General features: G+C 44.1%; 1 protein-coding gene across 3 annotated transcripts in view, besides 1 other annotated feature; it reads left to right on the top strand.

Moving 5' to 3' along the window:
• Nucleotides 1-2,308: 2,308 nt before the first annotated feature.
• The window catches only part of ELSPBP1 (epididymal sperm binding protein 1), a 30,523-nt gene continuing 4,889 nt past the window's right edge, over nucleotides 2,309-27,942 (top strand). For 2 of the 3 annotated variants that reach the window (XM_017027130.2, XM_047439213.1), the window contains exons 1-5: nucleotides 14,759-15,018; nucleotides 16,328-16,414; nucleotides 21,848-21,985; nucleotides 23,570-23,716; nucleotides 27,396-27,554. In XM_017027130.2, coding sequence (XP_016882619.1) covers nucleotides 14,901-15,018; nucleotides 16,328-16,414; nucleotides 21,848-21,985; nucleotides 23,570-23,716; nucleotides 27,396-27,554 — 649 coding nt within the window. In that variant the 5' untranslated portion in view covers nucleotides 14,759-14,900. Of the gene's footprint in view, nucleotides 2,489-14,758; nucleotides 15,019-16,327; nucleotides 16,415-21,847; nucleotides 21,986-23,569; nucleotides 23,717-27,395; nucleotides 27,555-27,942 lie in introns of those variants that run through there. The other variant, NM_022142.5, reaches the window with a different exon arrangement.
• Nucleotides 26,424-27,623: an enhancer, noted in NCBI's record as "CDK7 strongly-dependent group 2 enhancer chr19:48522004-48523203 (GRCh37/hg19 assembly coordinates)". NCBI's record gives its function as "activates an origin of replication core promoter dependent on BRD2, BRD4, P300/CBP, MED14 and CDK7 cofactors, with strong dependence on CDK7, by STARR-seq in HCT116 cells {active_cell/tissue: HCT116}" and the evidence as "EXISTENCE:reporter gene assay evidence [ECO:0000049][PMID:35650434]".

Consider the following 27,942-nt stretch of genomic DNA (forward strand, 5'->3'; position numbering starts at 1 on the left):
ATGGACACCTACATTTCCAACTATGAAATAAATAAATAAATAAATAAAAGTATTTAAAAAAGAAAAATCAGATTAATCCTGAATTCTGAAACCCAACGTGTTCTTAGTTACTGTTCCTTTTTTTTTTGAGACAGAATTTTGCTCTTGTTGCCTAGGCTGTAGTGCAATGGTGCAATCTTGGCTCACTGCAACCTCCGACTCATAGGTTCGAGCGATTCTCCTGCCTCACCCTCCCGAGTAAATGGGATTACAGAAGCCTGCCACTACATCTGGCTAATTTTTGTATTTTTAGTAGAGACAGAGTTTCACCATGTTGGTCAGGCTGATCTCAAACAAGGTGATCCACCTGCCTTGGCCTCCCAAAGTGCTGGGATTACAGGCGTGAGCCACCACGCCTGGCCCTTAGTTACTATTCTTAGAAGAGGGGCTGGGCACAGCGGCTCACGTCTGCAATCCCAGTGCTTTGGGAGGTTAAGGTAGGGGGATCGTTTGCAACCAGGAGTTTGAGACCAGCCTGGGAAACATAATGAGACCCCCCATCTCTACAAAAAAAAAATTGACGAATTAGCCGAGCATGGTGGCATGTGCCTGTTGTCCCAGCACTTTGGGAGGTTGAGGTAGGAGGATCGTTTGCAACCAGGAGTTTGAGACCAGCCTGGGAAACATAATGAGACCCCCCATCTCTACAAAAAAAAAATTGACGAATTAGCCGAGCATGGTGGCATGTGCCTGTTGTCCCAGCACTTTGGGAGGTTGAGGTAGGAGGATCGTTTGAGCCCAGGAGTTTGAGGCTGCCAGGAGCTATCATCGCACCACTGCACTCTAGCCTGGGCAACAGAGTGAGACCCTGTCTCAGAAAAAAATTGTGGAAAACGGGCTATCTTTTCATCTCCATTTTTTTTTCTCAGTAAGATGGAATCTCCTTTGGAAAAAAGTGTCAAAAGAAAGCCCTCCCCCCAACTAAACTGTCAAAAATGTCAGCAACTATCAAATTAGAAACTCTTATGAAATAAAAGCCTATCCAAGACTTTAAAAATACCTTTGAGGAATCCTAGTTTTTGGAAATGACTGTTGCCTTCACTTATTTCTAACATTTCTTTTTTCTTTTCTTTTTTTTTCTTTCTTTTCTTTTTTTTTTTTTTTTACATGGAGTCTCACTCTGTTTCCCAGGCTGGAGTGCGGTAGCGTGATCTTGGCTCACTGAAACCTCCACCTCCTGAGTTCAAGCGATTCTCCTGCCTCAGCCTCCCAAGCAGCTGGGACCAGAGGCGTGTGCCAGCAGACCCAGCTAATTTTTGTATTTTTACAAAAATACAAAAATTTTATTTTTGGGGTGTGCTGGGGTGTGCCAGCAGACCCCAGCAGAGATGGGGTTTCACCATGTTGGCCAGGCTGGTCTTGAATTCCTGACCTCAGGTGATCCACCGGCCTCGGCCTCCCAAAGTGCTGGGATTACAGGCATGAGCCACTGTGCCTGGCACCTCTTTCCTTCTTGTTTGAACATCTTTTACAGATCTTGATTATATTCTACAACATAATGGGTGGTCTCTGGCACACTGCCTTTTTGCTATTATTATTGATACTTTATGAAGACCAAGTGTGCTAAGACATTGTACATTTGCGGAGCCACCCATTCTCCCCTTTAACATCTTTGTTTCATGTCACTCTTCACTGCATTGCATGTCATCAGTTTCCCATTCTGCAAGTATTTCTTCAATCAGTTTCCCTTTATTATTAGCCATACGAGATCCAAAAATCCCTTAGCAGGTTAATGTGGACTGGGTGCAGTGGCTCATGCCTGTAATCCCAGCACTTTAGGAGGCCAAGGTGGGTAGATCACCTGAGGCCAGGAATTTGACACTAGCCTGGCCAACCTGGTGAAACCCTGTCTCTCCTAAAAAATACAAAAATTAGCTGGGTGTGGTGGCATGTGTCTGTGGTCCCAGCTACTTGGGAGGCTGAGGCAGGAGAAAGGCTTGAACCCGGGAGGTGGAGGTTGTGGTAAGCCAAGATCATACCATTGCACTCCAGCCTGGGCAACAGAGCAAAATTCTATCTAAAAAAAAAAAGAAAGAAAGAAAAGAAAAGAAAATAGTAGGGCTTTTTCATTGTTCAGCTGAAACCTCTCCAGCTCCTCATAGCTGAATTTCTGGGAACGTTCCCTCCTCTGTTCATTGATATTCTTGTCCCTGACCCCAGCCCCCGCAAGGCCCCTTCTGTGTACACTTGACTGAATTTTATGGGCCTCGTGGATATGCATGGGCTTATCTCCAGACATCATAAATTAACCACAGCTGATCTCATCCAGACTGCCTTCTGACAGTAACCACTGATGAAGAACCCTCCTTTGAGAAGCTGCCTTTGTGTCCTACAGACAGGCTGGGGCCAAAGCCATTCAACCAATCCCCAGATAATCCAGAGCTCTTGGGAGCAGAACCTTAAAGAGAGATCGTGGAGAGAGCCAGGGCCCAGAAGAACTCTCTCAAAGGTACATTTTGACCCGGAAACTTGGGAGGGTGTGACAAGTGGGGTCTTAGGGCCCCCATAGCAAAGAAGGAAGGTCTAGAGCATCATGGTGCACTAGAAATATAATACGAGCCACATAAATCATTGTAAGTTTTATAGCAGAAGCACTTTAAAAAACTAAGAAGAGTGCAATTTATTTTAATAACATGTTCTGTGGAATCCATGTATATCTAAACGATTATCATTTCAACACATAATGAATACAAATAATTATTAATGAGATACTTTACATTTTTTCCCTATACTTTGTCTTCAGAATCAATAGGTATCTTACACTTACAACATAGAACAATTTGAACTTTCCCATTTCAAGTGCTCAAGAACCAGAAGTAGCTGGTGGCTGCCATATTGGTTCTGGAAGGGGACAGCCAGAGAAAGTAGGGAAGGTGGTCTTGTGGGTGAGGTCCTTTCTCTGTTAATAAACTCAAAGAAATGGGTTAAACCAGATTCTATGAATGATGTAATGCTAAGGAAGGTTGCCTGAATCCCAAGCTTAGGGAAGAAACTGAAGAAAAGGGAACAAGTTACCTGTTAAGAGACTGGGTGAATTACTTATTAAATTCTTGGTAGTGGATTAAAATCTTCATGGTTCTGTCAATGTTTGGACCATTTCTCCAAGGTAAGGCTTACTCTCCCTATTTTAGGAAAAAGAAAGTTGAGATTCAAAAAGAGCTTACTGAGATCCTGTTGCTTCTCCCTCCAAAGGCAGCCTAAATATGTAATAGAAGAGGTGTGTGTGTGCGCCTAGAGGTGGAGGGAAGGCTTACACTGAAGTTTTGTTTCAGATCTGGGGTCATTTGCTGCTGAGAAGCAGAAGGACTCATTATTTTGAAGGTACACTATACTTCAGTGACTTTACAGCCCCATGTGTGCCTGTAATTATTCACAATGGCTTCTATAGTTTAGGTTTTATCTCCACTAAACAGATAGGAATACTGACTTGGAGTTCAGAGAGGTGAAATGACCTTCCCAAGGCCACCCAGTTGAAACATGGGAGAGGTAGGATTTGAACCCTGGTTGGTTGGGTGCTATTATCTTCTCACCGCTCCACTGTGAAATTATTTTGGCTTAAGAGAACGAGAGGGCAGAGGCTGTGGGCTAAGCTGCCTCTTGGGCACCCTATCAGGGCCTTAATACTACCAGTTGTATCTGCCATTATTTTCCATGTTGGGTGGTAGATATTGGTGCCAATGTCTTATCTATAGCTGTTTGAAGACAGCTATCATATCTGGTTCCTCTTGGTACCCACCACATTTCCTTATAGATGATAGGGTTCTTGAATACTCATTGGATGGGTGGTGGATTGAAGGAAGATTAAAGAATGAAAGGAAGGATGGGTGGATAGAAGAATGGATGAACAGTGAAAGAATGGATGGATGGAAGGATGGATGAGAAGTGGATGAATAAACTGAAGGATGGATGAAACGATTTATCTCTGATTGTTGAAGGCAGAAATCATGTATGGTTCCTCTTGGTACTTGACACAGTTTCTTATGGATGGTGGGTTTCTTAAATACTTATTTGATGAATGATTGATGGATGGATGATAAGAGGATGGATTCAATGAATAATGGATGAATAGAAGGATAAATGAATGGACAGATGAGTGGATAGATAGATGGCTGGTGAAAGATGGGCAAAAGGATGGGAGAATTGATAGACAGATGGAAGAATGGGTGGAAGGATGAATGGGTGGATGAATTGATGGATGGATGTATGGATGATGGAAGAAGATAGATGAAAAGATGGATAGATGGAGGAATGGATGTAAGAATGGGTGGAAGGATACATGGGTGGATGGGTGGATGGATGGATGATGAAAGAAGAGTTGGTAAAGGGATGGTTGATGGATGGATGGATGAGGGAATATTAACAATGAAGAGTATCATTAAGCAGAGAAAAAATTTCTCAGAAGGTAATATTTTCAGGAAAGTTTGAAAGCCAATAAATAACAAAAGTAAAAGAAGAGAATTAGAACATTCTCAAAATGTTTGCTTAATTAATTAATTACTGCCGGTCTAGCATGGTGAATGAATGTTATCATCATCATCATCGTCATCATTAATGGCCAACATTTATTGTGAGTTATCTCTATAGCACGCATTGTCTTAAGCATTTTGTATCTTTCATCTAATTCAATCCTCCCAACAACTCTATGAAGTAGAACTGTTTATTAGCATCCCCATTTTATAGAGGGGTAAGCTGTGAAGTACCTTATTAAATGTCACTCTGCTAGGCACCACTGAAACATCCACACAGGTTTTTAATTACTGGCATGCCAGTGGAATTGGAATGCCAACACCAAGAGGCCCCGGCACAGCGCTTTGCTCTATAGATGTTCAATAAATTTGGTAAGTCAATAACTACCTCATAAAATTAATCCATTCCTAAGACAGCCATCTCATTGTTGCAGATTTTTCATTTTGTGATTTTAAACTGCCTCCTATTGCTTTACTCAGGGTGTTCTATCTTTTTTAAAAACCATTTTAACTCTGCATGTTTTCATGTGAGCATATGTGCATGCATATACCTGTATATGTGCACATATGATGTGTGTATATTACACATGCCTGTATACATATATACACATCTATAATGTATACAGGCATGTGCACGTATATGTATATACACATTATGTATGTGCATATACATGTATAATTACTGTTTCTAAAATGTTTTATTGATACACAACAATTGTATATATTTATTGAGGTACGCGTGATTTTTTTTCTTTTCCTTATTTATTTATTTAATAGACATGGTGTCCCACTCTGTTGTCCAGGCTGGTCTCAAATTCCTGGTCTCAAGTGATCCTCCCACCTCAGCCTCCCAAAGTGCTGGGATTACAGGTGTGAGCCACTGATGTGATATTTTGATACATGCAGACAGTAATGATCAAATCAGGGTATTTAGGATATCCATTACTTTCAACATTTATCATTTCTTTGTGTTGGGAATATTGCAACTCTTCTCTTCTAGGTATATACATAATTAAATTGTTTTTAAAGACATAAGTCACACATCTGTGATAAAAACTTAATTGGAAAGAAGTCTCCTATTTACCCCTGGTTCCCACTTCCAGAGGTGATTGATATCAGTGGCTTCTCACATGCCCGCTCAGGAAAACACTCTGTACATGTATGTGCATGGGGAACACAGATGCAGTGTCTTGCTGAGAACTACAAGGCTCTGACCTAGGTTTGCTAGTGTCACCATCTTTTCGTTCCTCTGCACTTACTCCAAAATTGGTAGTCAGCAGCTTCCAGTAAAATCTCAAGGATGGCCTGGGCGCGGTAGCTCAATCCTGTAATCCCAGCACTTAGGGGGGCTGAGGTGTGTGGATCATGAGGTCTGGAGTTCAAGATCAGCCTGGCCAAGATGGTGAAACCCCGTCTCTACTAAAAATACAAAAATTAGCCGGGTGCAGTGGCAGGCGCCTGTAATACCAGCTACTCGGGAGGCTGAGGCAGGAGAATCGCTTGAACCGGGGGACAGAGGTTGCAGTGAGCTTAGATCGTGCCACTACACTCTAGCCTGAGTGACAGAGTGAGACTCCATCTCAAAAAAAAGAAAAAAAATCAATCAATCAATCAATCAATCTCAGGGATTGGGCTAATGAGCCCGGGCATGCGCATTAAGAGACAAAATGGCAGAGTCCGGGGCGCGGTGGCTCACGCCTGTAATCCCAGCACTTTGGGAGGCCGAGGCGGGCGGATCACGAGGTCAGGAGATCGAGACCATCCTGGCTAACACAGTGAAACCCCGTCTTTACTAAAAATACAAAAAAATCAGCCGAGCGTGGTGGTGGGCGCCTGTAGTCCCAGCTACGCGGGAGGCTGAGGCAGGAGAATGGCGTGGACCCGGGAGGCGGAGCTTGCAGTGAGCCGAGATCGCGCCACTGCATTCCAGCCTGGGTGACAGAGCCAGACTCCGTCTCAAAAAAAAAAAAAAAAAAAATGCAGAGTCCAACCTTTTGGGGGACATTTCACTGGAAAGGGAAGAAAGTCTCAGACGAGCTTGTGTACAAGTCCAGTAAACACACCGCGCATGCTCACTTCCCAAGCCTAAAGGAGGCACTGCGCATGCGGGAGGCCCACCCTAAGGGGAAAAATGAAGGGTCCAGCCATGTGGCCCTCCCTTCTGTGCGTCAGAACATGTCACATTGTTTCCCACATCAGCAGCTTTGCCCTCACTGATCCCTGTGCCTGGAATGCTTGTTCCTCACACTGTGTGTGGCTGACTCTAGGTTTTGGTTCAAACATCACCTGCTCAGAGAGGCCTTCCCTGACCACCAAAGGAGACATCTGTCAGGCATGATTGTTTACATTCCCCTGTTTATTATTTTTTTTCATTGCACTTTTCATATTCTGAAATGATTTTGGTTTTGGTTACTGTGGTAGAATACACATAAGATTATGATTTTAACTATTTTAAAGTGCACAATTTAGTGGCGACAAGCACATTCACAATGTTGCACCATCATCACCATTATCTATTTCCAGGAACTTGTCACCACCCCATACTGAAAGCCTCATTTCTTTTTTTTTTTTTTTTTTTGAGAAAGAGTCTCGCTCTGCCACCCAGGCTGGAATGCAGTGGTGTGATCTCGGCTCACAGCAACCTCCACTTCCTGGCTTCAAACAATTCTGGTGCCTTAGCCTATGGAATAGTTGGGATTACAGGCATGTGTCACCACGCCTGGCTAATTTTTGTATTTTTAGTAGAGATGGGGTTCAACATGTTGGCCAGGCTGGTCTTGAACTCCTGGCCTCAAGTGATCCACCCACCTCGGCCTCCCAAAGTGCTGGGATTACAGGCGTGAGCCACCACCCTGGTCAGAAAACCTCATTTGTATTTTGTCTTTCCCACCCTAGTAAAATATTAGCCTCATGCAAGAAGGAATTTCACCTGTCCAGTCTACCGACAACTCCACATAGTAGGAGGAACACAACAAATATTTATCACATACGTGATTTTTTTTTTTTTTTTAGGAAATGGGGTCTCGCTCTGTCATTCAGGCTGGAGTGCAGTGGTGCAATCATAGCTCACTGCAGCCTCAATATCCTGGGCTCAAGTGATCCTTCCCCCTCAGCCTCCTGAGTAGCTGGGACTACAGGTGTGCACCATCTTGCTCAACTAATTTTTAATATTTTGTAGAGAAGGAGGGGGTCTCACTACGTTGCACAAGCTGGTCTTGAACTCCTGAACACAAGTGATCCTCCCACCTTGGCCTCCCAAAGTGCTGGGATTACAGGCCTGAGCCCGCACGCCCAGCCTATGTTTACCATGATTATTTGTTGAGCACTCAGCATGTGCCAAGAACTCTGCTTACATTGTATCATTTCATTCTTCCCCCACCCCGGCCGCCCCCCAAAAATCCTGCCCCCTCCCCCATCCCCCATAGATGGAGTCTCACTCTGCCCAGGCTGTAATGCAGTGAGCCAAGACTGGCACGATCTTGGCTCAGTGCAACCTCTGCCTCCTGGGTTCAAGCAATTCTCCTGCCTCAGTCTCCTGAGTAGCTGGGATTACAAGTGCGTGCCACCACGCCCAGCTAATTTTTGTATTTTTAGTAGAGACGTGGTTTCACTATGTTGGTCAAGCTGGTCTCTAACTCATGACCTTGTGATTCGCCCTCCTCGGCCTCCCAAAGTGCCGGGATTACATTCATTTCATTATTAAACAGTCCTACGGGATAGATTTCAGTTGTCTCATATATAGAAAAGAAAGCTGAGAGTCAAATACATTCCATAACACTCTGAAGGTCACACGGATGAGCAGAAATTCGTATACAGGCTACCCTTTTCCGAAGCCACAACCACTTACGTATTTCTCCATTGTGGAGATGAGGACTCCGAGCTGTGCGTGTGTCCATGGAGCCACACAGCTGGCTTGAGAGGGAGCCTAAGGTTAGACACCTTTGCTCCGTACCTGTTCCAGGATGGCTGATTCAAATGGGACAGAGATAATGAAAATGATAACGATTAATATTTACAAAGCACGTTTTATGTGGCAGGCAGGGTTTTCAGCCCCCTGTGTGTGCATTAGTTTTCTGCAGTGGCTGTAACAAATCCCCACACACCTAACCGACTTGACACACATTTGTTCTCTTACAGTTCTGTGAGTCAGTCTCACTGGGGCTAAGATCAGGGTACCAGCCAGGCTGCATTCCTTCTGGAGGCTGTAGGGAAGAATCCGCTTCCTGGCTTCTTCCAGCTTCTAAAGGTCGCCTGCATTCTTTGGCTCGTGGCCTCTTCCTGGCATAACTCTAACCTCTGCTTTCTGTTGTCACACCTGGTTTTCTGACTCTCCTGCCTCTCTCTCTGTTTTTTTTTTTTTTGACACAGAGTCTCGCTCTGTTGACAGGCTGGAGTGTGGTGGTGCAATCTTGGCTCACTGCAACCTCTAACTCCCTGGTTCAAGAGATTCTCCTGCCTCAGCCTCCTGAGTAGCTGGGATTACAGCTGAGTAGCTGGGATTACACCACACCCAGCTAATTTTTTTTTTTTTTGTAGTAGAGACGTGGTTTCACCATGTTGGCCAGCATGGTCTCAATCTCCTGACCTCATGATCCTTGTGATCCACCCGCCTCGGCATCCCACCACCTCTCTTTTATAAGGGCCCTTGTGATGACATTGGGTCCATCTGGGGAATCCCGGATCATCTTCCCATCTCAAGATCCTTAGCTTTATGACATCTGCAAAGTCTTCCACACTCCTTTTTTTGAGACAGGGTCTGGCTCTGTCACCCAGGCTGGATCATAGCTCACTGCAGCCTCAAAACCCTGGGTGCAAGTGATCCTCCTGCCTCAGCCTCTTGAGTAGACAGGACTACAGGCATGTGCCACCATGCTAGTTTTCTTTCTTTTTTTTTTTAAGATTGTTTGTAGATAGGGGTCTCACTGTGTTACCTAGGCTGATCTCGACCTCCTGGGCTCAACCAGTCCTCCCACCTCAGCCTCTCGAATAGCTAGGACTGCAGGCATGTGCCACCATGCTGGCTGTTTTTTTTTAATTTTAAGATTTTTTGTAGATACGAGGTCTCACTATGTTGCCCAGGCTGATCTCAAACTCCTGGGCTTGAGTGATCCTCCTGCGTCAGCTTCCTGAAGTGCTGGGATGACAATTATGAGTTACCATGACTGGCCCGCAAAATCCACTGTGCCATGCAACCTAGCATATTCGTGGACTCTAGGAATTAGGACGTGGACAGATTTGTGTTGGGTGGGTATTATTCTACCCACCAAGCGTCTATGAACGACACTAACATTCTGTAGCAGCAACAGTGATCACCATCCCTTCCACTGTGCGGATGAGGACTGAGACCCAGGAAACTCAGTACTTTGTTGGGGTCACAAAGGTAGTAAGAGGCAAAGCATGGAAACCCAGGTGGTTGGGCTCCAGGGCAGGCTCTTTCTGGCATTATAACCTTCTGCCTGTCTGGATCTTAGCATCTAAGCCAAAAATTATTCATTTGAATCTTGAGGAGAAGGGTCAAAATGAAAGCTTGAGGTTAATGAACCAATTAAGGTGTAGGAATTGGGGTTTTGGGCCAGGCAGGAATATAAGCATGACACTGCAGGTAGTCAAGGGTTTAGAGGAGGTGGCAAAATTTGTCTCTCCCCCATCTCCATAAATAGTAATTAAAACATCTCGCTTGGGCCGGGCGCAGTGGCTCATGCCTGTAATCCCAGCACTTTGGGAGGCCCAGGTAAGCAGATCACTTGGGGTCAGGAGTTCAAAACCAACCTGGCCAACACGGTGAAACCGTGTCTCTACTAAAAAGACAAAAAAATAGCTGAGCGTGATGGCTCGTGCCTGTAATCCCAGTGACTCAGGAGGCCGAGGCAAGAGAATTGCTTGAACCGGGGAGGCGGAGGTTGCAGTGAGCTAAGATCGTGCCACTGCACTCCAGCTTGGGGTGCAGAGCAAGACTTCATCTCAAAAACAAACAAAAATTCTGGCTTGTATGCTGTCTTCATAAATAGTAATGAAAATATCTGGCTTGTATGCCCCCTCTGACATTTACACAGTGCTTTCCAGCATCTGCTGCATGTATAAGATCCCAAGGTGGAGTTTATTCTCCCTCATTTGATGATTGGAAAAACTATCCCCATATTTTCCTGTGGTTTGACTCCATAGCCACAGCAACCCTTTTTCCGACCAGCCAAGAAACAGCAGCGGTGGCAGGATGCTGGTCCCAACCACCCCGGGGCTCAGGACAGAGGGTTCTCCAAGCATCTGAACCTGCCAGTGCCCAAAGCATAACTTGGTCCTCACCTGGATGTTCCAGACGAGACATGGGTGTCTGGCTATTAGGGCTTGTTTTACAGTTGAATAATTATTTTGAATGGCCCCTAAAATATTTTCTATGAATATCCATAACTTGGTCTGTGCAGAGTCATAAACCTTCCAGACCATCAGTTGCTACCAATTCTTCGAATTTGCACAGAACTCTTTATTGCACAAAGAAGCAAGCCATGCAAATAGCTGGGGTCAAGGGATCATCCCAGGCAAAGAGAAGAGCGAGTGCAAAGGCCTTGAGGTGGCTTCTGCAGGAAACAACTAAAAGGCAGATCGAGGGAGGGGAAGGAAGATAAGAAATGAGTTTGAGGGAAGGCACAGTATGGACTAGGGATTGTATTCTAAAGGTGATGGAGGATTTTGAATGAATAAATGCCACCCCTGCTCTTTTTTTTTTTTTTTTTGATGGAGTCTTGCTCTGTCACCCAGGCTGGAGTGCAGTGGCACGATCTCGGCTCACTGCAACCTCCGCCTCCTGGGTTCAAGTGATTCTCCTTCCTCAGCCTCCTGAGTAGCTGGGACTACAGGCACCTGCTACCACGCCCAGCTAATTTTTTTTTTTTTTGTATTTTTAGTAGAGATGGAGTTTCACCATGTTGGCCAGGCTGGTCTCGAACACCTGACCTCAGACGATCTGCCCACCTCATCCTCCCAAAGTGCTGGAATTATAGGCATGAGCTACCGTGTCCGGCCCACTCCTCCTCACTTTAACCCCTCCCGTGGCTTCTGGTTGCTTCTATTCTATTCTATTCTATTCTATTCTATTCTATTCTATTCTATTCTATTCTATTCTATTCTATTCTATTCTTTTGAGACAGTCTTCCTCTGTTGCCCAGGCTGGAGTGCAGTGGTATGATCTCGGCTCACAGCAACCTCTGCCTCCTGGGTTCAAGCGATTTTCCTGGCTCAGCCTCCCGAGTAGCTGGAATTACAGGCACGCACCATCATGTGGAGGGAATTTTTGTACTTTTAGTAGAGATGAGGTTTTACCATGTTGACCAGGCTGGTCATGAACTCCTGACCTCAGATGATCTGCCCGCCTCGGCCTCCCAAGGTGCTGGGATTACAGGCATGAGCCACCACACCTGGCCTTCTGGTTGCATTTAGAATCTGAGGGAGGCTCTACAGGGTCCGGTCCCATCCATCTCACCATGCATCTCTGTGGCCTTGCTCCTCCTCACTTGTTGTAGAGACGAGGTGTCACTGTGTGGCCCAGGCTGGTCTCAAACTCCTAAGCTTAAGCCATCCTCCTGCTCAGCCTCCCAAAACACTGGGATTATAGGCATGAGCCACTGTGCCCAGCCTGGGCCTTAGCCATGCGGGTCCCACTTGCTCCTTGAGCACATCTAGCTTTTTCCATCTCAGGCAGTTTCCACGTCGGCTTCTCCTGCCTGGATGTATCCCCCACCCCCATACCTCCAGCTCCTCTCACGTCTCCCTCCTCCATCTGTTCCTCCAGGTGTCAGCTTACCTGTCATTTCTCAGAGCACCCTCCCCTCACCTCTCAATCAAAAGTGACCTTGTCCTAGTTGTTCCTGAGACTCGTCCACAGCAATGATCACAGCGAAGAGTTGTATTTGTTTCTGGTTTCTTCGCTTCATATCTGTCTCCTTGGTTGACTCTCAGCCCCACGAAGGCAGGGCCTATGCCTGCTTTACCCACTGCTGCATACTCATCGTGTAGCCCTGGCCCCACATCTTTTAAATGCTCAATAAATACTCATTCCTGAGTGGATGCATAAAGCATGCATCAGGAAAGGGCCCATACTGGGCACAGTGGCTCTTGCCTGTAATCCCAGTGCTTAGGAGGCTACGCAGGAGGATGGCTTGGGCTCAGGAGTTTGAGACCAGCCTGGGCAACATAGCAAGACCTCGTCTCTACAAACAATAATAATAGTTTAAAAATTAGCTGGGTGTGGTGATGCGTGCCTGTAGTCCCAGCCACTTGGGAGGCTGAGGTGGGAGGATCACTTGATGGGAGATGGAGGCTGTAGTGAGCCATGATGGCGCCACTGCACTGCAGCCTGGGTGACAGAGCAAGACCCTGTCTCAAAAAAAAAAAGAAAAGAAAAAAGAAAAAAACAAAAAGAGAAAAAGAGCTCAGCCTTGTAGAGGAGAGAGGCTGGAGGCTGCATATCAGTGAGGCAACAGGACAACAGTTGAATAGTTGAGAAGAGAAATGAAAAAGGCCTTCCTTTAGTCTTTAACAGCAGAGGCAGGAAAAGCGGATAGATTCAGGAGCTCCAGAAAGTAGAACCAACTGACTGATAGAACACAGCAAGAGACAGGGACAGCAGATCTACACTGGGGGCTACAACTCAGGTGGTTGAGAAGAACATAGTGCAATTAAATGAAGTAACATGGGGGAAGGATAGCATATTTTGGGCTGTATCTCAACAGCCAAAGCTTGGAATTTGAGATGCTTGAAGGACATCTAGGTGGACATGTCTGGGAGGCAGTTGAAAATACAGTTCTGGCTCTCAGAAGTGAAACAATACTATATGAACAATACTATTTTGGATGATATTTATGAGTTCTTAGCACATGTCCGGTCCCATGTTAAGCCTAGAGGCAGCATCGTACATTGGTTAAGAGCTCAATTACTCTGAACTGAGTCAGATTGTTGGAGTTCACTTGCAAGTTCTCCAACTTGCATGATCTGTAACCCTCAGCAAGGTGCTTAAGCTTACTGTGCCCCATCTGTGCATATCTGGGGTAGTAATGGTACCTACCACGTTGGGCTACTTCCTATCAGGATTACAGTGAATTTAGAATAGTGTGTAGCACTCAATGAGTTTTATCTGTTTTTTGTTTTGTTTTGTGTTTTGAGACAGAGCCTTGCTGTGTCGCCCAGGCTGGAGTGCAGTGGTGCGATCATAGTGCACTGCAGCCTCGACCTCCTGGGCTCCAGTGATCCTCCCACCTCAGCTTCCTGAGTAGCTGGGACTACAGGCATGCACCACCATGCAAGGCTATTTTTTTTATTTTTGTAGAGATGAGGTCTCACTATGTTGTCCAGGCTGATCTCAAACTCCTGGCCTCAAGCAATCCTCCCATCTTGGCCTCCCAAATCTGTCATATTTTTATGATTGTCGTTAATCATCATAACAAGGCTGAGTGGTAGATAGGATTAGCATCCTCATGTTTTGACACGACGAAACTGAGGCTTAGAAAATTTAAGGTTGGGCCCAGTGGCTCACGCCTGTAACACTAGCACTTTAAGAGGCCGAGGCGGGTGGATCATTTGAGGTCAGGAGTTCAAGACCAGCCTGGCCAACGTGGTGAAACCCTGTCTCTACTAAAAATACAGAAATTAGCCAGGCGTGGTGGCACGTGCCTGTAATCCCAGCTACTTGGGAGGCTGAGGCAGGAGAATCGCTTGAGCCTGGCAGATGGAGGTTGCCGTGAGCTGAGGTGGTGCCACTGCACTCCAGTCTGGGCGTCTGGGCGACAGAGTGAGACCCTGTCTCAAAAAAAAAAAAAAAAAAAAAAAAAAGAAAAGAAAAAGAAAATTTAAGTAATTTCCCTGAAGTCACCCAGCTGGTAAACGGTGGAGCTGGGATTTGAATCTGACTCATTCATCCTGCATTGTCAGGTCTAAGTCCTGACTGAGCCACTAGCCAAAGAGAATGAGAGTCCTTCACAAGTAGTGAATGAGACATCACTCAGAAAAAGCCTGTTTGAGGCATGGTGCTGGGGTTAAGAGTAAAAGGCTTCAAGGAAGAACGACAAGAAAAAGGGAGAAAGACACTTTGATGTGTAGCGGGAGAGCCAAGCACTGTTGGGAGAGGAAAAAAGTTTGGGGCGTGTTGTGTGGCTCAGATACTCAGTGGTGCCACCTACCTGTGGGAGGACTTAAATCAGTAACTTTGGGATTTTGATTCCTGGCGGTATCTGGGTTTCTTGCTAAAAGTTGGTTCCATCTGATGCCTTCCCGAGCTATCCTGACCTTGGCTTTAATAATTCATAAATGCCACTAACGATCTACAAGTGAAAAGCATTTTCACATCAAGGTCTAATTGGACCCTCGTGGCCACCCGGAGACACAGGAACGACTAAATACATTCTGCAGATGAGGAAACAAAGGCTCATAGAGGGGAAGGGGTTTACGTTGCCTAAGAACTCTGACACTAGTATAGACAGGCCCGCACTGACTCTGAGATACATCACGTACCAGCTGTGGTCCTTTGGTAAGTTACTTAACCTCCCAAGCCTCAGTTTCCCTTTTCTGTGAAGTGGAGATGATCATGCCTGCCCTTAGATTTTCAGGAGCAAATTGGATTGTGGATACAAAGCTTAGGACATCCGGTATACAGTAAGCAGTCAATAATTGGGAGCCAGCCGTAGAAGTGGTGATAGTAGCTGAGACTCAAGTCAAATCCAGACCACCAATTCCAAACTGTGGGTTCTTGTTGCTGCTGAGAATGGCATGGTCATCTGTCATCAAGGAAACGGCACGAAGGAAAATAGAGCTAGTAATAACTATGGTTAATGAGGACGGTAAATGCTAATCACTGAAGGACTTTCGTCTCCAGCTAAGGAGATGAGTGTGATTCATGGGGAGGATTTAAGGCTATTGTTAAGGTTCCAACAATGAGAAGGGCCCTTGCAGCCATTAATATGGGTTAGAACCCAGACCCTGCCCTTTCCTCCCTGGGTGACCAATCCAGGTCTGAGTGTTAGTTTCTGCATCTATAAAATGGGGGTTAAAACATGTATTACTTGATTTATGAAAGCCAAGTGACATAAAGTGTGTTGAACATCGAGCCTGGAGTACAGTAAGTGTTCAACAAGTGTTTCATTTTTTTCTTTCCATCACACTTTCCTAAGGACAGTACATGACAGTAGAGTTATGCATCAGGAATACAGTCTGAGAAGTGCATTGTTAGGCAATGTCGTCCTTGTGTGAGCATCATAGAGTGTACTCACACGAACCTAGATGGTAGTGCCTGCTACACACCTGGGCTATATGATACAGCCTGTGCTTCCAGGCTACAAACCTGTACATACACACATGTAGAAACACACACACATATCACACACACATATGTAGAAACATATGTGTGTGTGTGGTATATGTGTGTGTATGTGTGTATTTAGAGATAGGGTCTCACTCTGTTACTGAGGCTATAGTACAGTGGCACAATCATAGCTCACTGCAGCCTTGACCTCCTGGGCTCAAGTGATCCTCTTGCCTCAGCCTCCTGAATAGCTGGGACCACAGGCATACACCACCATGCCTGGCTAATTTAAATGAAAATTTTGTAGAGGTGGGGTCTCACTATGTTGTCCAGGCTGGTCTTGAACTTCTGGCTTTAAGCGATCCTTTGTCTTGGTCTCCCAAAATGCTGGGATTACAGGTGTGAGCTACCATGCCTGGTCTATTTTTTAAATTACTGTGGATGGAAAGAAAAATGGCATGTATGACGTCAAATCTAGGAGGTAATGGGAAGAGGAAGGGGACGTGTGGGATGAAAATTTTTGTCTTCTTTTCCACAGAGAAGAGGGCAGCCAAGATGACCCGATGGTCCAGTTACCTGTTGGGATGGACAACCTTCCTTCTCTATTCCTATGAGTCAAGTGGAGGTAAGGACACTCAAAGCAACAGGGAGGATTTAGAAGCTGGAGAAGAATGAATGGGGCAAAGCAAAGATTCCTGGAACTAAGTAGGCAGGAGATGGCTTAGCAAAAATCTCAGAAGAAGCTGGGCGCGGTGGCTGACACCTGTAATCCCAGCACTTTGCAGGGCTGAGGCAGGCAGATCACTTGAGGTCAGGAGTTCCAGAGCAGCCTGCCCAACATGGTGAAACCCCATCTCTACTAAAAATACAAAAATTAGCCAGGCATGGTGGTGAGCGCCTGTAATCCCAGCTACTTGGGAGGCTGAGGCAGGAGAATCGCTTGAACCCAGGAGGTGGAGGTTGCAGTGAGCCGAGATCGTACCACTGAACTCCAGACTGGGAGACAAGAGCAAAACTCCCTCTCAAAAAAAAAAAAAAAAAATCTCAGAAGACCTGGGGTTTGGACCCTGGATCTGCCACTTCTTTTCTTGGTAACTTTGGTCAAGCAACATAAGCTCTCTGAAGTCAATTTCCAGACTGTAAAAGAGAAGTAACGGCATTTATCTCACGGGGTTATTTTGAAGATCAAATAAAATAATGGGCACCAGCATCTTTCATAATGCTCAGCACATGGTGGGGGTAAAAGGCAGGCTATATAATTCCAGTGAACAGAACCTTCAGACCCCAACCTGGACAACCTAATTATATCTTAATATATCTCAGAATCTAAATTAACCACTAAAAGACTGTAAGGTAAGCATGGAAACAGAACAAGAGGAAACCTTGCTTACATGTCATTCACTCAAGCCTTGGTGAGTCATTCTTCACAATTAGAATCCTTTTCTGCCTGATAAATCGTTCTCCTCTGGATAAGGCTCAGGAACCATTTGCATATTGATGCACCTTGATCCCACATTCTTTATTCCAGAGATTCCTAACCTGGGGTCATTGAGTGAGGATTAGAGTCCATGAAAACTGGAATTTACGTTTTAAAAAAAGTGTGTATTTATGAGGGTAGTGAGAATAGCTATTGTAACAAACAAAATCCAAACTATCAGCTGCTTGACACAATAACATTTTTTTTTTCTTGGTTCTGCAAAATCCCAGAAGGGTGCATCTGGTCAGGAAACAATGCTCCACATGGTCATTCAGGGATCCAAGCTTCTTACATCCTGGAGCCCCAACATCCCCTACGGTTTCAGAGTCTGCTGAGGTTTCTTTGCTTTTAGCTTGTAGACAAGTATCAAGAGAGTCTGGAGGACCTTGGAGGAGAGGGTTTTTTGTTTGTTTGTTTTCTTTTGGCCAGGACAGGAAGTGACATTCATCCCTTTCTCCTGCTTCCACTGGCCAAAACTGATATGGCTCTTAACTGCAAGCAAGTCTGGGAGATGCAGTGTAGCAGTGCATTTGGGAGGAAAGTGAAACTGATTTCGGTGAACACACAGCCATCTCAACCATAAGGGCATATGAATATTCTCCTAGAGAGAAGTTCTGGGTTCTCAAAGAACTGACAAATTCCTGAAAGTTTAGGAACTCACAGTTTATTCAGACAAGGAACAATGTACTTGATGGGGTATCCACTTTTCTAGTTATAATCTCATTTTTGTCATGCCTCCCTGAGACCACACCCACATACTTGTGGTGAAACTCAGTATTCCAAGTTCCCTTTGCGTGTATTTACAGATAAATTATTCAGTATACACTTACTGAGTGATCTTTAAGTTCCAGACATTGTGTTATGGACCAGAAGTGCAGAAATAAACAAAACCTAAACCCTCCACTCAGAGAGTTCACAGTAATCGGGAGTTATAGACACATAAATGAATTATTTTTAAAAAATTGGCAACTGCATTCATTTATAGAGATTGACTCTGAGTATTATAAGTGTGAGGAAGAGTATTGACCCAGACTGAGCCAAGTCTTCATGGATGAATAGCAGGGACTAAAGCTGGGAAGAGAGGAAAGGCATTCAGGACAGGGTGAAGGGCAGGACCAAAATCTCAAAGACGAGAAAGAACATGGAATAAGGTCAAGGGAATGTTAATCAGGGAGTGAGAACAGGCAGGTCAGCAGGGTCTGGATTATAGAGGATTGTAACTCAGTTAAGAAGATTAGGCCATCTGCTGGATTACTTTGCAGATGGCTAATAGTATTCATTATGTGCTGATTCTTACTAACGACTCCCAAAGATAACCTTAATTCCACCTACAGGGGCATCTGCCCTCTCCCTCAACACAGTATCCTATATACTCAGTGGTGTTCGTGACTGAGGCAAAGCATTGATAATGACAATAATGACAGTGAAGATGACAATGATAATGATGAGGATGATGATGATATGACGATGATGACAATGATGACGGTAATGATGACAACAATAATAGCGACAATGACAATGATGATGGTGACAGTGATGATGATGACGATGATGATAATGATTATGACAATGATGTGATGAGGAGGAAAATAATGATTACAATAATGATGACAATGATGATGAGAATGACAATAATGGGGTTGATGATGATGATGACAATGATTGATAATGATGATGACAATGACGATGATGATCACCATGATAATGACAATAATGAGGTTGATAATGATGGTGACAATGACTGATGATGATGACAATTATGACGATGATGATGATGATGGTGACAATGATGATGACGATGATAATGATGATGTCAATAATGATGTGATGAGGAGGAGAATAATGATCACGATGACAGTGATGATGATGACAATGACAATAATGAGGTTGATGATAATGACAATGACTGATAATGATGATGACAATGATGATGACAATGACTGATAATGATGACAATGATGATGATGACAATGATGATCATCATCACATGATAATGACAATAATGAGGTGGATTATGATGACAATGATGATGACAACGATGATGATGATCATCATCCTGATGACAATGACAATAATGAGACTGATGATGGTGACAATGACTGATGATGATGATCATGACAATGATGATGAGCATTATGATGATGCCAATGACAATAGCGTGGAGAATGATGATGATGACAGTGATGGTAATGATGATGATGATGACAATGATAATCATAGCTAATATTTATTAAGCAGCAGCCATGCTCCAGGTACTCTTCTAAGCACTTTCCAGATTTAAACTGGTTTAAGTTTCACAAAAATAAATACCAAACAGTTCTGAGAAACAAGGTGAAAAATGCAATGAACTAACAGTTGAGCAAGTTGAGCTCTCATCCCAGGTCTACAAAAAAAAAGCAATCAACTTTAATTAGTCCTTATTGTACGTGGGTTTTCATGTAATGAGGAATTTGGGATAGAATAGCATTTCTTTCTTTTTTCAAAAAAATTTACACATCAAAATTCTGCAGAACACCGTTTTTGTTTTTTGTTTTGTTCTGTTTTGTTTTGTTTTCAGACAGGGTCTCACTCTGTCACCCAGGCTGGAGTACAGTGGTGCAATCATGGCTCACTGTGGCCTCAACTACTCAGGCTCAAAGGGTCTTCCCCTCAGCCTCCCAAGTAGCTGGGATTACAGGGGCACACCACCATGCCCGGCTAATCTTGTTTGTTTGTTTTTTTGTAGAGATGGGGGTCTCACTTTGTTGCTCAGGCGGGTCTTGAAGCGATCCGCCCACCTCAGCCTCCCAAAGTGCTGGGATTACAGGCATGGAGCATTGTGCCTGGCCGAGAACAGCATTTTTTGATATATTTCAGGGACCATTAGTCTCTAGTGCCATTGAATTTTGAAAAAAAAGAAGGACAACTCGATATACTGTATTCATCAATTCTCATTTTCATATTAACTTTTCTGTTGAGTCCTTCATTAAAGAAACCTGTTTAACTTTATTTCACGTGGCATTTTTCCAAACTTATTTTATTGTTTCTGTTGTTTCTTGAGCAAATAATTATTCTAGGTTCTGTAGATACACTGCACAAAAAACAAAGTTCCTGTACTCATTGAGAAGAATAAGGACGTCGAAAGTTGTCCCCTCAATATTTGCCACATCTGGGTACCACCAGTACTATTATTTACTCAACATTTTTCTTTAAATTTGCTTACTTTTCTTCACTTTAAAAAATTCATTTTGGGAGATTGGTTAACATCAGTATTATAATATAAAAAAGCACTACCACTTTCCATAAATAGGAAGTACGACCAAAAAGAAATACTGTACTATGAAAACAAAATCCCATTATTAAATTCTGCTAGACTATCGTCCGAATAAAGCTTTGAGTTTGAGTCCTGCTCCCCACCCCCCTCTCTTTTTTGTTAAAATGGGAGATTATTAAGTATTAGAGATGCAGTAGAGAAATACTACTATTAAATTGAAGCTTTCTCTTTTGCGTAAGCAGAAGGACTAAAAGGACCACTGGAAAATGATTTTTTTCTAGTCTATATTTCAAAATTATTTAATGTGTGTCCTTACATAACCTAATGTGATCTTGTGATCCACCAAAAAGTATTTTGTGTAATGTCATTGGCCCCCCATTTTATGCTCTGAGAAACAGTGGTCTCAAGGAACAACACACCACGGTTGTCTTGGTTGTGTATGAAACTCTTCCCCAGTGCTCCTGGCCCCAACATGAACTGGATATGCTCTGACATGTCATTAGGAAATTGGATGCTAAGCCTAGGTGTGTAGCCTTCAGGCCACCATGAGAACTGTCTCAGTCCATTTGGGTTGCCATAACAAAATACCACAGGCCAGGCATGGTGGCTTACGCCTGTAATCCCAGCACTGTGGGAGGCCAAGGTGGGAGGATCACCTGAGGTTAGGAGTTTGAGACCAGCCTGGCCAACATGGCAAAACCCCGTCTCTACTAAAAATACAAAAATTTGCTAGGTGTGGTGGCGGGCACCTGTAATCCCAGCTACTTTAGAGGCTGAGGCAGGAGAATCTCTTGAACCCAGGAGGTGGAGGTTGCAGTGAGCTGAGACCAGACTACTGCACTCCAGCCTGGGTGACAGAGTAAGACTTCATCTCAAAAAAAAAAAAAGTAAATAAAATAAAATTTAAAAAGTACCATTGACTGCGTAGCTTATAAACAATATAAATTTCTGTCTCCCAGTTCTGGAGGCTGAGAAGTCCAAGGGCAAGTCACCAGCAGTTTCAGTTGCTGGTGAGGGCCTGCCTCCTGGTTCACAGATGGTGCCTTCTTGCTGTATCCTCACATCGTAGAAGGGGCTAGCTAGCTCTCTGGGGTCTCTTATAAGGGTTCTTATCTCAGTCATGAAGGCTCTGCCCTTACGACCTAATCACCTTCCAAAGGCCCCTCGTACCATGACCGTGGGGGTTAGGATTTTAACATATGAATTTTGCGGCGGGGGCAGGGAGGGAACACGGACATTCATATTAAAGCAAGAGCCAAACCAAGACTCATCCTTTGCTAATTCATCGTGATTCTTCCCCACTCCTGTTTTCTCCTTCTGCCCTTCAGGGATGCATGAGGAATGTGTCTTTCCTTTCACCTACAAGGGATCTGTTTACTTCACTTGCACCCATATTCATAGCTTATCCCCTTGGTGTGCCACCAGAGCCGTGTACAACGGCCAGTGGAAGTACTGCCAGAGTGAAGGTGAGTGGTATCACATTGTCCCTGCCAGTGGCCTTTGAATAGGGTGGATCACAAAAGAGAATGTGTGACTGTCTATGACATGATCACATTTTTGCAGACAAACGGTAATACGTATGCGTGCGTAGAAAAGGCTCTGGGTTTTAATGATCGCCATTCTAACTTGTGTGAGAACACATGGACACAGGAAGGGGAACATCACACACCGGGGACTGTTGTGGGGTGGGGGGCGGGGGGAGGGATAGCATTAGGAGATATACCTAATGCTAAAGACGAGTTAATGGGTGCAGCACACCAGCATGGCACATGTATACATATGTAACAAACCTGCACATTGTGCACATGTACCCTAAAACTTAAATTATAATAATAATAAAATTTAAAAAAATCAGTGATAATGTAATGGGTAATAAATGATATATAATTACTGTTTTTAATTTCCACAAATAAAAAAAAAAGAAAAAGAAAAGGCTCTGGGATGCCTGACAATGAATGCTAATAATGGGTAATAATGTTAATAATGCTAGTGTTAAAAATAGTGCTCTCTGGATGAGGGTCTTGTGATACTGTAAGACTAGTTGACCCAATAGAACCATCCCATCTTTATGCCTTTCTTAATTTTCTAAGTTAATAAGGAAAAAGGAAACGAAGTGTAAGAAACGGGATTTGAGGCTGGGCGAGGTGGCTCATGCCTGTAATCCCAGCAAAACTTAACTACTAATAGCCTGCTATTGACGAGACGGCTTACCAGTAACATAAACTGTCAATTAACACATATGTTTTATGTCTTATGTATTATATACCGTATCTCATAATAAAGGAAACTAGAGAAAAGAAAATGTTAATAAGAAAATGGTAAAAAGGAGGAAATATGTTTGCTATCCATTAAGTGGGAATGGATCAGCATAAAGGTCATTAGCATCATCTTCATGTTGAGGAGGAGGAGGAAGAGGAAGGGTTGGTCTCACCATCTTGGGATGACAGAGGCAGAAGCAATGGAGGAGGTGGAAGGGGAGGCAGGAGAGACAGACACATTCAACATAACTTTTTTTGAAAAACACCCATGCCCACTGGGCACAGTGGCTCATGCCTGTAATCCCAGCACTTTGGGAGGCCGAGGCGGGTGGATCACCTGAGGCCAGGAGTTCGAGACCAGCCTGGGCAACATGGCGACACCCCATCTCTACTAAAAATTAAAAAAAATTAGCTGGGTGTGGTGGCAGGCATCTGTAATCCCAGCTACTCGGGAGGCTGAGGCAGGAGAATTGCTTGAACCCAAGAGGCAGAGGTTGCAGTGAGCCAAGATCTCGCTATTGCACTCTAATCTGGGCAACAGAGTGAGACTCTGTCTCGAAAAAAAGAAAAGAAAAGAAAAGAAACTCACATATAAGTGGACCCGAGTTCAAACTTGTGTTGTTCAAGAATCAGATGTATATGGCATAGGCAAATGCTTGATGAAATAATGCATAAAGTCTCTTCTGAACCTTATGTCTGTCCTGTCCTATGATGGTTGATTGATGATTAAATGACTCTGTCCTGTGAACGACTAGAGGAAGTTAAGACACTCACGAACTCTGTTCCTAACAGATTACCCACGCTGTATCTTCCCTTTCATCTATCGAGGAAAGGCTTATAACAGCTGCATCTCCCAGGGCAGCTTCTTAGGCAGTCTGTGGTGCTCAGTCACCTCTGTCTTCGATGAGAAACAGCAGTGGAAATTCTGTGAAACGAATGGTGAGCCCCTGTAGCAGGGATGGGATGTGTGGTGGGAGGGAGAGTGGACAGCATGGATCCTCCTGAGGGGAGGCTGGGCAAGGTAGAGACCAGAGCACCCAGGGGGAAGTACTTACAGGAGCCAAGTGTCTGCTCAGAGAGTTCGCTATGACAACGACAGACAGGGGTATCCCGAGGCCATTCGCCCAGTCCCCAGTCCAGCATGAAAAGACAGGAGTCCTGAGAACTGAAACAATGAGCTGAAGTCCTGATATTGGCTTCTGAGTATTTCTGTTTCTAGAACTGACAATAGTGAGATTCACCCACTGATGGACCCAAACTGCCTTTTCTTTCCTTCCTTCCTTCCTTGCTTCCTTCCTTCCTTTCCTTTCTTTCCTTTCCTCCCTCCCTTCCTCCCTCCCTCCCTTTTCTCTTTCTTTTCTTTCCTTCTTTCTTTCTTTCTTTCTTTCTTTCTTTCTTTCTTTCTTTCTTTCTTTCTTTCTTTCTTTCTTCCTTCCTTCCTTCCTTCCTTCCTTCCTTCCTTCCTTCCTCCCTTCATCTCTCTCTTTCTTTCTTTTTCTCTTTCTTTCTTCTGTTTTTTACAGGGTCTTGCTCTGTCACTCAGGCTGGAGTGCAGTGGAATGATCTCAGGTCACTGCAACCTCTGCCTCCCAGGTTCAAAGGATTCTCCTGCCTCAGCCTCCTGAGTAGCTGGGATTGCAGGCGCCCACCACCACACCCAGCTAATTTTTGTATTTTTAGCAGGCACGGGGTTTCACCATGTTGGCCAGGCTGGTCTTGAACTCCTGGTCTCAGGTGATCCATCCGCCTCGGCCTCCCAAAATGCTAGGATTACAGGCATGAGGCACTGTGCCTGGCCCTGACCTGCATTTCAATGCAGCCTAACATCATATTAAGTCTACACATAATCTTAGGTGAATAATGACCAAAATTCATTGAATGTCCTCTCTGTCCTACACTGATCCAAGAGCTTTGTATACAATATCCTGTTGAATCTTTCCATAGCAGCTCTATGAGCTGCTGCTCGCCACCACCTGTTCAATAAATGGTCCCAGTATAACTGAGCCCTTCCCAAGGTCACAGTCCTACACTATATTAGAATTAGAGCTTGAGTTCTAGTCCATATAGTTCCAAAGCCCATGCTCTCTCCTTAAGCATTGTTGCGTCCACAGAGACAAAGATGTGTGAAGGCAGTTATTCGTAGGCATGCTTACTCTTGCGTAAAAATCTTAATTCTGTTGTTCCCTTAGCACTCAACAAATCCTAATTCCATCTAAACCTTAATTTTATTCTAGCCCTAATCATCCACCATTTGTGTTCTTTACTATAAACAAAACTTAACCTTAAATCTCACTATAGCTTTGTCCTAGTAGTTAACCTAATCTTTCATCCCAAGTCCAACTCTTTCTCCATTTCCATTCCTAACTCTAAATTGTATCATTAATACATACATTCCATCATTAATAAATACATTAATAATATACTCTGTCATTAATACATCATTAATTCATAACCTTAGCCATTTCTTAACCCTAAACCAAATAGATGAATTAGGAAAGGTATCAGTGAGACCAGGCTCAGTGGCTCATGCCTGTAATCCCAAAAGGGATTGGGAGGCTGAGGCAGGAGAATTGCCTGAGGCCAGGAATTTGAGACCAGCCTAGGCAACATAGGAAGACCCGCTCTGTAAAAACAAGAATTAAAAAATTAACTGATCATGGTGGTGCGTGCCTGTAGTCCCAGCTACTTGGGGAGGCTGAGGTGGGAGGATTCCTTGAGCCCAGGAGTTTGAGGCTGCAGTGAGCTATGATCACATCATGGCATTCCAGCCTGGGCAACAGAGTGAGATCTTGTCTCAAAAAAAAAAAAAAAAAAAAAAAAGGAGGAAAAGAAACATCACTTTTGTGGTAATATAACCTTAATATCTAAGCTCCTGTTTATCCTTAAAACTATCCAATCTCCTTAGACCCAGTTTTGATGGAGTAACAGATTCAAATTTGCATAAATCACCAAACGGATGTCCAAGAAGAGATACCTTTTAGCTTTGGCTTCCCCATTAGGTTAAGAAAGTTGTTGATTATTTCCTTTCTATGGATAAGTGAGAACCAAGACCACCCATGGCTGCATGCTACTGTCTCCATGAACATAGCTTTACCGCTTCACAGTCATCATCAACTTGACTCTACTAACCCAGGAAATTCGTGCCTGGGAAGTCACTTTTATTATCTGCAAAATGAGAATGCTAAGGCTGGCATCACAGGGTTTTTGTAAAGACTGGAGTTTATTTTCATGCAGGATTGATGGTGATGCCATACCAGGTACCCAAGAAATGTGAGCTTTCTTCTGCTATCATCTGAGACACTAGGCAAAAAAATGGGCTTTGAAGTTAGACCCGAGTTGGAATTCTGTTGTTTCCCTTACCATCTATGTGATCTTGGACACATTAGATCATAGAAGTAATAATTATCATAACATAATGAACTTTTAATAAGCATTTTCTATGTGCCAGGCAGTATTTTAAGTGCTTCACATGAAATAACTCATCTATTCCATACAATAATCTCTATCAGGTAAATGTGATTATTAGCCCAGTTTTACACATGGACAAACTGAGGTTAATAGAAGCAAAGCTGTGATTTTGATCCCAGGAAGTCTAACCTTCAGAATTTGTGCTCTTAATCACCAGTCATTACTGCCTGAAAACCCCAACCCCTTAGTCAAATTCTAGCTCCCCATGAAAGACCACCAAAGGAAATTAAAAAAAAAAGCCTGCTAATTAGGCAAGACTGAGTTTATTGCTCACTTCCTTGACAGCATCTTAATAACGTCTTGGGCTGGGCGTGGTGGCTCATGCCTGTAATCCCAGCACTGTGGGAGGCCGAGGCAGGTGAATCACCTGAGGTCAGGAGTTCAAGACCTGCCTGGCCAACATGGTGAAACCCCTTCTCTAATAAAAATAGAAAAATTAGCGACGCATGGTGGTGCATGCCTGTAATCTCAGCTACTCGGGAGGCTGAGGCAGAAGAATCTCTTGAACCCGGGAAGTGGAGGTTGCAGTGAGCCGAGATCGTACCACTGCACTCCAGCCTGGTTGACAGAGAAAGACTCCATCTAAAAAAATAAAAAATAACGTCTCGAAGTGGGGAGGGAAAACTCAGCATATTGATGGGGTCTTGGAGTCTCGTCTAAGGTGGGTCTTTCAATGGGGGATGTGATTTGGATTGTGTAAGGATCATGATATAATAGTTAGGATTGGTGTTCACAGCAAGGTGAAATGACCAAAGATGGGGTTTTAAAGAGTCTAGGAGAGTAAATAGTGTTTTGACACAATCGATATTTATGTAACTAGCTTTTCTGGAGGCTTCTGGAATGAATAATAGGGCTATTCGCAACTCTTATCTTCCTGGGCAAGAATTTCCTAGCTTAGTAGAGTCAAGGTGATGGCGACCGCAGAACCGTGAAGTCGTGTTAATAGAGACAGTAAGCTGTGCACGAGTTGATAGTTTTGGTTCTCACTTATCCGTAACATTGGGATAATAACGTCATCCGGAAGTTGCTTGGAGAATCCAATGTGACGTTGCCTTTAATGGGATAAAGCGTGGCACAGTTTGTGTGTCATAAATGGAAGCTCTTTTCATCTCCTCTTCTTGACCCGTAACCTTTCCATAATCCTTTTCAGAGTATGGGGGAAATTCTCTCAGGAAGCCCTGCATCTTCCCCTCCATCTACAGAAATAATGTGGTCTCTGATTGCATGGAGGATGAAAGCAACAAGCTCTGGTGCCCAACCACAGAGAACATGGATAAGGATGGAAAGTGGAGTTTCTGTGCCGACACCAGTAATCTGGGGATGGGGGTTGGGTGGGTGTGGGTGGAGTCTTTCTTTCATTTGCTCAACAAACACCTCCTGAAACCCCACTGTGAGCCAGGCACTGAGTTGGGCACTGAGGATCTGGTGATGAATCCGGCAGACAGAGTTCTGGCTCACGAATAATGTCAATGATGTGATATGCCACAGGCTTTAAAATCCAAGAGAAAGGTGCCAAAATGAAATGCTCAAAATGTTAAACACCTAACCATGATGCAAATACAGAGTAAACACACGCCAGGGTTTTTAAAAACCCCAGTGTGAGCCACGAATGGTGGCTCACGCCTATAATCCCAGAACTTTGGGAGGCTGAGATGGGAGGATCACTTGAGCCTGGGAGGTTGAGGCTGCAGTGAGCT

This window comes from Homo sapiens, chromosome 19 (genome assembly GCF_000001405.40).
Source record: "Homo sapiens chromosome 19, GRCh38.p14 Primary Assembly".
In the NCBI taxonomy this organism is placed as follows: domain Eukaryota; kingdom Metazoa; phylum Chordata; class Mammalia; order Primates; family Hominidae; genus Homo; species Homo sapiens.